This window comes from Homo sapiens, chromosome 1, assembly GCF_000001405.40.
Source record: "Homo sapiens chromosome 1, GRCh38.p14 Primary Assembly".
Lineage (NCBI taxonomy): Eukaryota > Metazoa > Chordata > Mammalia > Primates > Hominidae > Homo > Homo sapiens.
In genome coordinates, this window is record NC_000001.11 from 149,889,329 (window position 1) to 149,902,404 (window position 13,076).

General features: G+C 45.4%; 1 protein-coding gene and 1 long non-coding RNA gene across 5 annotated transcripts, besides 1 other annotated feature; one reads left to right on the forward strand and one right to left on the reverse strand.

Annotated features, from left to right (window-relative positions):
* Nucleotides 1-6,047: 6,047 nt before the first annotated feature.
* On the reverse strand, nucleotides 6,048-10,220 carry LOC124904412 (uncharacterized). The gene is made up of 2 exons (XR_007066597.1): nucleotides 10,150-10,220; nucleotides 6,048-6,393 (listed from the first exon to the last, which is right to left on the reverse strand). It is a non-coding gene; the product is annotated as an uncharacterized LOC124904412 (long non-coding RNA).
* BOLA1 (bolA family member 1) lies at nucleotides 10,240-11,467 on the forward strand. Of its 4 annotated transcripts, none has more exons than NM_001321026.2 (2): nucleotides 10,240-10,402; nucleotides 10,515-11,467. In NM_001321026.2, exon 2 carries the CDS (start codon nucleotides 10,732-10,734, stop codon nucleotides 11,143-11,145), a length of 414 nt encoding a protein of 137 aa, NP_001307955.1. In that variant the 5' UTR covers nucleotides 10,240-10,402; nucleotides 10,515-10,731; the 3' UTR covers nucleotides 11,146-11,467. The 4 variants fall into 4 exon arrangements, with proteins under 4 accessions (NP_001307955.1, XP_006711411.1, NP_001307954.1 ...); XM_006711348.4 differs by having other exon boundaries at nucleotides 10,682-11,467; NM_001321025.2 differs by having other exon boundaries at nucleotides 10,240-10,344.
* Nucleotides 10,274-10,333: an enhancer, noted in NCBI's record as "active region_1664". NCBI's record gives its function as "activates an Ori minimal core promoter by ATAC-STARR-seq in GM12878 lymphoblastoid cells {active_cell/tissue: GM12878}" and the evidence as "EXISTENCE:reporter gene assay evidence [ECO:0000049][PMID:35858748]".

Consider the following 13,076-nt stretch of genomic DNA (forward strand, 5'->3'; position numbering starts at 1 on the left):
ATGCTAGAGAGAAAAAATAGACTTGTGGGTTTTTTGTTCGTTTTTTGAGGCGGAATTTCCTCTGTCACCCAGGCTGGAGCACTATCTCAGCTCACTGCAACCTCCACCACCGCCTCCTCCACCCCGCCCCCACCCACCCGGGTTCAAGCGATCCTCCCACCTCAGCCTCCCGAGTAGCTGGGATGACAGGCGCCCACCACCCCGCCTGGCTAATTTTTGTATTTTTAGTAGAGATGGGGTTTCATCTCTACTAATGTTGACCAGGGTGATCTCGAACTCCTGACCTCAAATCTCGAATGTTGGCCAAGGTGGTCTCGAATTCCTGACCTCAAATGATCTGCCCACCTCGACCTCCCAAAGTGCTGGGATTACAGGCGTGAGCCACTGCACCCGGCCAGAAAATACTTAAATCATTCTTTGACACTTTTCCTGATGTTTTCTCCTTTATTCTCACCAGTTTATTCAACTGGCATTTATTGGATGTGTGCTATTGGGCCATGGGTGTATAGATAATTGAAAGTAGTACAAACAAGTCTGTGATGAAATGCCTCCAGAAAATGGAGGAAATCTGGTGAACTCTGAGAGTTAAATTAGTTAAAATCAGCTACGTATAGAGATTACTCCTGATAAGAATGCTGGTATAGATTTGGGAAACACCAAAGTTCAGACAGAGGTGATGAGGGTGTAACCTAAGATCCTTCTAATCCAATTGATTATATCATTTGAGAAGATGAATGTTAACAGAAAGGTGCGGTCCACATAGAGTCCAAACAGGTGGCAATTATAGTAGGAATATGTTATGTTTTCACCAACACTAAAATATATCTGGCAGATGTAAAGTTTGGCCTAGAAAAGGGTCCTTGGTTATGAAAGCATCAACCCTTTCTCACAGCCTGGGTGAAATATTTCTGAAGACTATCCAAGTTCTTTCATTCAGATTCTGTGCTCAATTAACAACTTTCTGATTATTCTATTCCAAGATAAAAACATAAGACTGAAGTGGGGGGAGCCAGTTATAGAAAGATGTTCATCATATAATTCAATGAATTTGCATTTTGGACTATTCATAAATTTTGTGTGTACTTTGTTAGCGTGGGCCCCTCCCCAAGAAGCCAGTCAGTCCTGGAAGTTCTCATAGTGTCAACTTTTCAGACCTAAAGGGCTGAGAACAAAACCCAGATGATAGGGGACCCCACCACAATCCTGGCACCCCATAAGGCCCTGCTTGAGGGGCAAGATGACCTTCCTTTCTTTCGCTGACCTTATTTTTTTTTTTTTTTTTTTCCCAGACAGAGTCTCACTCTGTCAGCCAGGCTGGAGTGCAGTGGCAGAATCTCAGCTCACTGCAACCTCTGCTTCTCGGGTTCAAGTGATTCTCATGCCTCAGCCGACCAAATAGCTGGGATTACAGGCATGCGCCACCACATCCAGCTAATTTTTGTATTTTCAGTAGAAACAGGGTTTTGCCATGTTGTCCAGGCTGGTCTCGAACTCCCAAAGTGCTGGGATTACAGGTGTGAGCCACTGCGCCTGGACTTGACCTCTGATTTCTTTTTTACTTCTATCACGGTGCTCTGTGCCATAAGAAGGGTGAAAGAAAAAGAGATTATGTTGAAACCCTGCTATGATAAACCCTGCAGTAGTGACTGCCTACAAAGTAGATAAAATTATGTGTTTCACAAATAAACTGAAGCTTACAGGGATTAAAACAATTGCTGGGCCGGGTGTGGTGGCTCACACCTGTAATCCCAGCACTTTGGGAGGCCGAGGCGGATAGCTTGAACCCAGGAGTTTGAGACCAGCCTGGCAACATGGCGAAACCCCATCTCTACAAAAAATACAAAAATTAACTGAATGTGGTGGGGCACACACCTGTGACCTGTGGTCTCAGCTACTTGGGAGGCTGAGGTTGGAGGATTACTTGAGCCCAGAAGGCAGAGGTTGCAGTGAGCCAAAATAGCGCCACTGCACTCCAGCCTGGGTGACAGAGCAAGACTCTATCTCAAAAAAAAAAATTGCTGAAGGTCACACAGCCACATGATTAGAGCCTAGGTCTGCCTGACTCAAATAACATGCTCCTCACCATGTCATTCACACTCTCACTAACTAGATGTTGGGCTTAAAGAAGTCATTTAATTTATCCAGCCATTGTTTCTTCCTCTGTACAAAAAAAAGGAAGAAAGAATTATTAGATGAGATCTTCTCTACTCCCACACAAATATCCTTGCTGTGGCCACATCTCTTTGTTCATATCCTGGTGACAGCACTCACCATTCTGTGCTGTGTGTGTGTGTGTGTGTGTGTGTGTGTGTGTGTGATGGAGTTTCGCTCTGTCGCCCAGGCTGGAGTGCAACGGCACGATCTCTGCCCACTGCAACCTCTGCCTCCCAGGTTCAAGAGATTCTCCTGCCTCAGCCTCCCAAGTAGCTGGGATTACAGTAATGTGCCACCACACCTGGCTAATTTTTTTATTTTTAGTAGAAATGGGGTTTCACCATGTTGGCCAGGCTGGTCTTGAACTCCTGACTTCAGGTGATCCACCCACCTCAGCCTCCCAAAGTGGTGGAATTATAGGCGTCAGCCACCATACCTGGCCTGTACTGTGCTTTAATCTCCTTTCTGTAACCATTTCCAGAGAAAGATCATGTCTTCCTCTTATTTGAATCAAGAGTTCTTGATTCCTTCCACCTGGCCCTTAATAGTTTCCTTAAATGTTTTTGGCATGAATACATGAAACAAACTCTTAGAAAATTAGCATTTTCTTTTCTAAAATATTTAGTCAACAACCACTCTCCAAATGACAACCATAAATAGTAGATGATGGTAAACAGAATGATGGAAGATAGAAGCTCATCAGTTAAATAAAAATAATACAGGCCAGGCACAGTGGCTCACACCTGTAATCCCAGCACTTTGGGAGGCCAAGGCAGGTGGATCACGAGGTCAGGGGTTCGAGAGCAGCCTGACCAACATGGTGAAACCCCATCTCTACTAAAAATACAAAATTAGCTGGGCATGGTGGTGGGCACCTGTAATCCCAGCTACTCAGGAGGCTGAAGCAGGAAAATTGCTTGAACCCGGGAGGCAGAGGTTGCAGTGAGCCGAGATCGTGCCACTGCACTCCAGCCTGGGTGACAAAGCGAGACTCCGTCTCAAAAAATAATAATAATAATAATAATAATAATATAGCCTACCATAATACGGTTGCTGGAATAAAGGAGAATAAATGTAAATAACCTAGTAGAGAGCTTGGGAACCTGAGAGGCCCCACAGCTAGATTAGGAGGATATGATGGTTCATTTTATGAGTCAACTTGCCTAGCCCAATAGCTAGTAAAACATTTTCTGGGTTTTGTTTTTGTTTTTTGTTTTTTGTTTTTTTTGAGACGGAGTTTCACTCTTGTTGCCCAGGCTGGAGTGCAATGACGTGATCTCGGCTCACAGCAACCTCCACCTCCCGGGTTCAAGCGATTCTCCTGCCTCAGCCTCCCAAGTAGCTGAGATTACAGGCGTGAGCCACCATGCCTGGCTAATTTTGTATTTTTAGTAGAGATGGGGTTTCTCCATGTTGGTCAGGCTGGTCTCAAACTCCCGACCTCAGGTGATCCGCCCGCCTCAGCCTCCCAAAATGATGGAATTACAGGCATGAGCCACCACGCCTGGCCCATTTTTCTGGGTATTTCTGAAAGAGATTAGCATCTGAGGCCGGGCACGGTGGCTCACACCTGTAATCCCAGCACTTTGGGAGGCCAAGGCAGGCGGATCACCTGAGGTCGGGAGTTCGAGCCCAGCCTGGCCAACATGGTGAAACCCCATCTCTACTAAAAATACAAAAAATTAGCCCAGCGTGGTGGCATGCACCTGTGTAGTCCCAGCTACTCAGGAGGCTGAGGCAGGAGAATCGCTTGAACCCAGGAGGTGGAGGTTGCAGTGAGCCATGATCGGACCACTGCACTCCAGCCTGGGCAACAGAGCGAGACTCTGTCTCAAAAACAAACAAACAAAAAGTAATCTATGGTGATAAAGGTTAGAATAATGAGACTAATGATTAACTGTGGCAGGGTAATACTGACTTCCCTGGAAGTCTTCTGAGGTGCTGGGAATTTTCTTTATCTTGATATAGGCATATTCATATGTAAAATTCAGCTCTACATTTAAGATTTATAGGGGTTTTTTTGTTTGTTTGTTTTTGAGACAGTCTCCCTCTGTCACCCAGGCTGGAGTGCAGTGGCGTGATCCCAGCTCACTGCAACTCTGCCTCTCGGGTTCAAGCCAATTCTCATGCCTCAGCCTCCCAAATAGTTGGGATTACAGGTGCCTGCCACCACGCCCAGCTAATTTTTGTATTTTTAGTAGAGAGGGGGTTTCACCATGTTGGCCAGGCTGGTCTCGAACTCCTGATCTCAAGTGATCCACCTTCCTTGGCCTCCCAAAGTGCTGGGATTACAAGCGTGAGTCACCACGCCCGGCCTAGATTTATAAATCTCTTACATGTACATCATACCTCAGTAAGCACAATTTTTAAATATAAACAAAATTGAAGGAGTCATCATGGGGAAAACAATGAGTACTTTGTTGGGCATCCCAATCCTCATGTTACAAATGAGTGTTTATTATTGTTTGGTTGTTTTGTTTAATTGTGTATGAGGTGGCTAACATAATCTCTCGGTGCTTAAAGCCTCTAAAAGCCTTAATCTGACCACGACAGACCTTCATTAAATAGTAGATATTATTATGACTATATTTTTATTAGAAACAAAGACAATAAGCTTGCCCTGTGGAGCTCGCAACTTGCAAAGCTTTCGTTTATTTTTACGACAGCAATAATAGTGAAGTTGCCGTCTCCATTCATACATCAATTCACTCATCCATCCAATATATCTTATTGAACACCTAAGTATGTCAACACTGAGCTTGGCATCACACATCTAGAATATAGTGAATATACCATTCATTGTGCCTGGATCTCTCTTTCCACGTGGTTAGTTCCCTCTAGTCATTCAAATTTCTGTTTCAATGTTACCTTCACACCTAGGCTTTCCCTGACCTCAGCCTCCTACCTCTGCCTAACACTGTCACTGGATTTGCAAACTGCAAGGTCCTAACCAAAGCAGGTCCTATAGATGCCATCTTTGTAGCAGCTTTCTAATCAATGTACTTCTCTCTAGCCCATCTCGTGCCTTCACTCAGGTTATCTTTCACCCAGACTACCAACAAAGACTTTTCTACTCCTCTCCCTGCTTCTACTCTTCCCACTCCTCACCAGAGTGGCCTTTCTAATAGACATTCTGATTCTTTTCTCACTGTACACTCTCTCCCCAGGTGATCACATACCACACCCCAGCCCCACCCCCATGATCTCATTTCATCTTCAACAACCCCTAACTAAGAGATGTCTCAAATATACTTCTCACATGCTAAAATTAGTGGGAAAAAACTTAATGAGAATTAGGAAAGTAGATACACTTAGAGTATCTTCCACAATTACAGACAGAAAAGGAATTTTATAGTGGAAAAGCCTGACAGATACCATCTTAATCAAGTGATCAGAACTATCACTAGTAATAACAAAAAGATCACGTGCCCTGGTAAGGTTCACAGAGAAGAATTCAACATTACTTCTGCAGTATTCCAGCCAAAAATGCATGTGCTAAATTTTAATCATAAAGAAACATCAGACAAACCCAGATTGAGGGACATTCTACAAAATAAATGTCTGTAACTTCAAAATTACCAAAGTCATGAAAGACAAAGAAAATCTAGGAAACTATTTCAAGTTAATGGAGAACAAAGAAATATAACAACTGAATGCAACACGTCATCCTAGATTGGATCCTGGACCAGAAGATATTTCTTTTCATTTTATATATATGATAGTAGTGGAACAATTGGCAAATTTTGAATAAGGTCTGTAGATTAGATAATAGTACCGTATCTGTGTTCATTTCTAGAGTCTGACAGTTATATTCCGGCTATGTGAGAAAATTTTTTTTTTTAAGTAAATATACATCAGTCAGGATTCTCCAGGGAAACAGAACGAATGGTAGATATTTTGATAGATAGTTTTATTATAAAAAATTGGCTTTTTGATTATGGAAGCTAATAAATCCCAAGATCCCCAAGATCTTCAGGGTAAGTTGGCAAGCTGGAGACCCAGGAGAACTGATGATATAGTTCCAGTCCAAGTTCAAAGGCCTGAGAACCAATGGTGTAGTTCCAGTCCAAAGGCCGAGTCTAAGACCCAGATGGAGCCAGTGTTTACTTCTGAGTCTGAAGGCTGAGAAAAGCCAATGTCCGGGTCTCAAAGCAGTCAGGCAGAAGGAAGTCTCTCTTACTCCGGAGTGGGTCAGTCTTTTGTTCTAGTCAAGCTTTCAACTGGTTGGATGGGACCCACCTATATTAGGGAGGGCAATTTACTCAGTCTCCAATTCAAATGTTAATCTCATTCAAAATACTCTCACAGAAGCACCCATATTTGGCCAAATATCTGAGCACCAATCCTCTAGAAGTTGGGACATTAACCATCACAGGCCGTGCGTGGTGGCTCACGCCTCTAATCCCAGCACTTTGGGAGGCTGAGGTGGGTGGATCACCTGAGGTCAGGAGTTTGAGACCAGCCTGGCCAACATGGTGAAACCCCCCTCTCCACTAAAAATACAAAAATTAGCCAGGCGCCATTGTCCACGCCTGTAATCCCAGCTACTCAGGAGGCGGAGGCACAAGAATCACTTGAACCCAGGAGACAGAGGTTGCAGTAAGCCAAGATTGCATCACTGCACTCCAGCCTGGGCGACAGAGTGAGACTCCATCTCAAAAAAAAAAAAAAAGTTAACCATCACAGGTAGAGTTTAATAGGCTTTATCTCTGAAACTTAGTCTCAAACAGTCCAGAAAATAATTATATATTTGTAGATAGGTACATACAAATAAAACAAACAGTGAATTGTTAATATTTGGGTAATCTAGGTATCAGGATAAAGGATATACAGGAATTATTTGAACTGTTTTTTTTAACTTTAGATGCACAAACCTTGTAATTATCCTTGACACTTTCCCTCCCACAACCAAGCCATTACCACACCCTGTAGGTTTTACTTTCCTAATATACATCCTGTAGCCACAATTTCTCTCCATTTCCACCACCACCACCACCACCTTGGTCCAAATCATCATCATCTCTCACCTAGACTGCTACAGTAACCTCCCAACTTGTCTCCCTGTTTCCACTCTTGCCTCCTCTACAATCCATTCTCCACCCTGAAGCCAGTGATCTTTGCAGAATACAAACTTAAAGTCAGCTAAATGCAATGCATGATCCTTGATTGGTTTCTGAAAATTAAACATTTATAATGTTTACTTAGACTGTGCTGCTATTACAAAATACCACTGACTGGGTAATTTATAAACAGAAATGTATTTTCTCACAGTTCTGGAGGCTGGGAAGTCCAAGATTACGGCACTGGCAGGTTTGGTATCTAGTGAAGGCCAGTTCCTCATAGATACGCCATCGAGGTGACCTTACATGGCAGAAGGGACAGAAGGGGCCAACTTACCCCCTCAAGCTCTTTCAAAAGGCGTTAGTCCATTCTTGAGGGTGGAGCCCTCATAGCCTTATTACCTCCTAAAGGCCCCACCACTTAATACCAACACCATGGATTAATTTTCAACATGAATTCTGGAGGAGACATATTCAAACTATAGTAGACACCAATGAGACAGTTGGGGAAATCTGAATATCAACTGTATGTGATTATAGTATTGTATGAATGTTAAATGTCTTGGATGTGGTAATGGTATTGTGGATATGTATGAAAATGTCCTTGTTCTTAGGAGATACACATTGAAAGTACATAGCAATTAAGTGTAAAGAATTTTGTGGGGCCAGGCGCAGTGGCTCACGCCTATAATCCCAGCATTTTGGGAGGCCGAGGCGGACTGATGACCTGAGTCAAGACCAGCCTGACCAACATGGAGAAACCCCGTCTCCACTAAAAACACAAAATTAGCCAGAGTGGTGGCGCACGCCTGTAATCCCAGCTACATGGGAGGCTGAGGCAAGCAAATCGCTTGAACCCAGGAGGCGGAGGTTGCTGTGAGCCAAGATCGCACCATTGCACTCCAGCCTAGGCAACAAGAGCGAAACTCCATCTCAAAAAAAAAAAAAAGAATTTTGTGGCTGGGTGCAGTGGCTCACGCCTGTAATCCCATCACTTTGGGAGGCTGAGGCAGGCAGATCACTTGAGGTCAGGAGTTCCAGAGCAGGAGGATCACTTGAGGTCAGGAGTTCCAGACCAGCCTGGCCAACATGGTGAAACCCCATCTCTACTAGAAATGCAAAAAAATTTAGCCAGGTATGGTGGCACCAGCCTGTAGTCCCAGCTACTCAGGAGGCTGAGGCAGGAGAATCACTTGAACCCAGAAGGTGGAGGTTGCAGTGGGCCAAGATGGCGCCACTGCACTCCAGTCTGGGCAACAGAGTGAGACTCTGTTTAAAAAAAAAAAAAAAAAGAATTTTGGGCCAGGCGCAGTGGCTCACGCCTGTAATCCCTGTAATCCTGGGTGGCCGAGGAGGGTGGATCACCTGAGGTTGGGAGTTCCAGACCAGCCTGATCAACATGGAGAAACCCCGTCTCTACTAAAAATACAAAATTAGCCGGGCATGTTGGCACATGCCTGTAATCCCAGCTAATCAGGAGGCTGAGGCAGGAGACTTGCTTGAACCCAGGAGGCAGAGGTTGCAGTGAGCCAAGATCACGCCATTGCACTCCAGCCTGGGCAAGAAGAGCAAAACTCCATCTCAAAAAAAAATAAATAAATAAGATTTCTGCACCTAACTCAAGTGATTCAGCAGAAATAATTATTATTATTTCATTATTATTATACACACATACATTAAAAGAGATACAAAGCCAAGTCTGGCAAAATCTTATCAGTGAACCTAGGTGAAGAGTGGATAAATGGGTTGCTCATTGTATTAATCTTGCAAATTTTCTGGAAGTTTTAATTTTTTTTAAAGGCTAGGGAAAACAGTGTATGTCATAGTTTAAATTTCTTGAGTGTGATAAGGTTATTGTGGTTATGTATGAGAATATCTTTGTTCTTAGGAGATACATATTGGAGTAGTTAGGGGTGAAATGTCATGCTATCTGCAACTTACTTTCAAATGGTTCATCCAAAAAAGCATATAAATATATTTTAAAGTATATGTAAAGTACTTAAATATATGAGTATATATGTACAAGTATAAAATAAATATAAATGCAAAAAATGGTGGGTCAAGTGAAAGGTAGAGGGTGTTGCTTTGAACTATTCAACTTTTCTGTGGCTTTGACATTTTTCAAAATGAGAAGTTGGGGAAAAACATTTAGAAATATGTAAATATATTAAGGATACAAAATAAAATTTAAATAATTTTACAAGTTAAGAATCATCCTGGAAAAATTACATCCTGTTACATCCCTGCTTAAAACCTCAGTAGCTTCCCACTACTTCTAGGATAAAGACAAAATTGCCTAACAAGGGCTACAAGGCCTGGGGTGGTCTGGCCCGTTCCTCTCCTCCTGGTACCCTACTCATCACCATCAGCTGCCCCCTAGGCTCCAACCACACATAACCACACCCTAACTACACCAGAAGGAAAGACTCCCTCAAAATTCTCTCTCCTCCTGTCCTTTACACATGCAGCTACCAAAGCCAAAACCTCACTATGAGGGACTGAGAAATGGATTCTCATGTTGTTTCTGCTGAACTGTTTCCCTAAATCTCGGAAATATTCTCTGCCCGCCTCCCATTCCACCTCTCCAACCCCGGCCAAGTCTGGGTAACTTGCCTCCTTAGCATCCTGTGTTTATCTCATCGTAGCACCTAGTACCCAGTATTGCAATTGTCCGCTCACTTGTTAGTCTTCAGTGCTCTGTTGTCTCCTTGAAAACAGGGCCTGACTTGACTCCCCAGTCCCCAGCACTAGTCTGGGGCACAGTAATTATGTATTCAATCAGACTTCCATTTTCTTGCATATAAAATAAAGGAGTTGGGCTGGATGATCTACAAGATCTATTGGCAGTAAAATAGATCTAATAATCCCAATCCCAACTGCGCGTGAATTCCCTTTTTCTTTGCATTGCTGGGTTCAGACTTTCTGACCACCTTACCAGTGGGGAGAATCCGAGACTACAGTTCCCATGAGCCCTCAGGGCACCACGTGGTGCCTGCCCGTGCTACCAACGCGCAGCGAGGACTCCATTTCCCAGCGTGCCTCAGGAAGGGCGCCAGGACTGCATTTTGCTCCGGAGCGTCCAGAGTCCTGGCCCTGAGCGGGAATCGCAGTGGCCGAGGCTGAGCGGCAGGTAGAAGGGGCGTCTCCGGGGCTTCACAGGGAACACAGGGGCTTCGGCCCAACCACAAGTACGCAGTTGCACATGCCCTACTTTTGCCCATTCTTTGCAAATCCCCTAAGGAACGAACGCGCCTCGCGTGCGGGCCTTTCTAATCTTCGCTTGTCCCTTCACTTCCACAGCTGGAGGTCGAATTCACCACGTCACGTAGAGAAAAGGGGCGGTGTCTCGGGTCTCCCCGTGTGGCATCAAGGCGGGCTCCCTATAGGAGCTGGTGTGGACGTCCGGGCGTGGGGTTAGGGCGGATGCGGGGATCGCGGGGCGGGTGTTGACATTGTGCTCTCACCAGGCGGATCGCCCCGACCCTCACTCCTGGCGTCTGAGTCTCTGGCGTAGCCCATGCTGAGTGGGCGGCTGGTCCTGGGTCTGGTCTCCATGGCTGGCCGCGTTTGTTTGTGCCAGGGCAGCGCGGGATCCGGGGCCATCGGTCCGGTGGAGGCCGCCATTCGCACGAAGTTGGAGGAGGCCCTGAGCCCCGAGGTGCTAGAGCTTCGCAACGAGAGCGGTGGCCACGCGGTCCCGCCTGGCAGTGAGACTCACTTCCGCGTGGCTGTGGTGAGCTCTCGTTTCGAGGGACTGAGCCCCCTACAACGACACCGGCTGGTCCACGCAGCGCTGGCCGAGGAGCTGGGAGGTCCGGTCCATGCGCTGGCCATCCAGGCACGGACCCCCGCCCAGTGGAGAGAGAACTCTCAGCTGGACACTAGCCCCCCATGCCTGGGTGGGAACAAGAAAACTCTAGGAACCCCCTGAACCCCAAGAGAGGGAGGACCAGGATCCGAATGGGCTGGGTGAGCACGAATTACCGAGGCCTTCCCTTTGATACAGTCCAGGATTTGTAAGGGATGAAGACCCCTGGGCCCCATTCTGTTGGGGTCCATACATACTCTCCGAAGATAGCAACTTGCTTCAGGTCAAAGTGAACCCGAGAAAAGAGAAGAATCACTCACTACTGCTCTTGCCCTGGACTATTCAGGAAGGGCAGCCCGGATGTTCCATGTTAAATCGTGACAGAATTGCACCAGACCTGATGAGTTGGAAACAATCCTATACATTAAAAGAAATTACACTATGAGGCTGTGTTCTTAATGGACTGCTGAATCAGTGCCACAGGTGTTCTTGGGAGAAGAAAGATACTTGTAGACTAGTCGGGAAGGGCTTTATGAGGGAAGTGATCTAGTTGGATCTTTAAAGGAAAGCACAAAATTAACCAGAAAGGAGAGGATAGGTGCTGCAGGCAGGGAGAAGAACCTGAGCAAAGACATAGACGCTGGACTGAGAAGTGAGTTAATGGACAAGACAGGGGATATAGGCAGGGACACATTTGAATTTCATCTTGAGGGGGGGAATGTTTGGCTTTTTTACAGCCTGTTCATTTCCAAAAAGTAGTATTTGTATTTGTTTAAAAGAAAAATGTTTTTAAAAACCACTAAAGCAGTGAAAAGAGGATAAGAACTAAGAAAATGATTACAGATGATGAAGAAACCTTTATATAGCCTTTTTTTTCTTTTCTTTTCTTTTCTTTTTTTTTTTTGAGATGGAGTTTCGCTCTTGTTGCCCAGGCTGCAGTGCAATGGCACGATCTCGGCTCACTGCCATCTCCGCCTCCTGGGTTCAAGCGATTCTTCTGCCTCAGCCTCCCCAGTAGCTGGGATTACAGGCATGCACCACCACACCCAGCTATTTTTTTGTATTTTTAGTAGAGATGGGGTTTCACCATGTTGACCAGGATGGTCTCAAACTCCTGACCTCAGGTGATCCTCCTGCCTCAGCCTCCCAAAATGCTGGGATTACAGGCGTGAGCCACTACCCGTAGCGTTTTTGTTTTTGTTTTTGTTTTTGAGATGGAGTCTCACTTTGTTGCCCAAGCTGGAGTGCAGTGTCGCGATCTCAGCTCACTGCAGCCTCCCTCCGCCTCCCAGGTTCAAGCAATTCTCCTGCCTCAGCCTCCCAAGTAGCTGGGACTAGAGGCTTGTGCCACCACACCCAGCTAATTTTTTGTATTTTATAGAGACAGGGTTTCACCATGTTGCCCAGGCTGGTCTTAGACTCCTGAGCTCAGGCACTCCGCCCACCTCAGCCTCCCAAGGTGCTAGGATTATAGGCGTAAGCCACCATGCCCCGCAATGTAGCCCTTTTTGAGCATTACAGATATTGTCATATTTCTGAGGGGAGCTCGAGTAATGTCTATAGAAGCAACTTTCCAATAATCTCAATGTGGAAATTATTAGAGAAAAAAACTTGGTTAACATATATCTTTTTTTTTTTTTTTTTTTTTTTTTTTGTGAGACGGAGTTTTGCTCTTGTTGACCAGACTGGAGTGCAATGGCCCAATCTCAGCTCACTACAACCTTCGCCTCCCAGGTTCAAGCGATTCTCCTGTCTCAGCCTCCCGAGTAGCTGGGATTACAGGTGCCTGCCACCATGCCCGGCTAATTTTTGTATTTTTAGTGGAGACGAGGTTTCATCATATTGGTCAGGCTGGTCTCAAACTCCTGACCTCAAGCAATCTGCCTGCATCGACCTCCCAAATTGCTGGGATTACATGCGTGAGCCACCACGCCCGGCCCGGTTAACATATATCTTGACCATTTCTAGCTAAAGAATTTAAGGTGCATGTGGTTGGGCAGTAGGGAGTCATTGACAAATTTTGAGTACAGACATGCCAGAGAGCATCTGGGGGC

Coding starts and splice junctions, on each gene's coding strand:
- BOLA1 (NM_001321026.2), top strand. CDS start 10,732: ATGCTGAGTGGGCGGCTGGTCCTGGGTCTGGTCTCCATGGCTGGCCGC.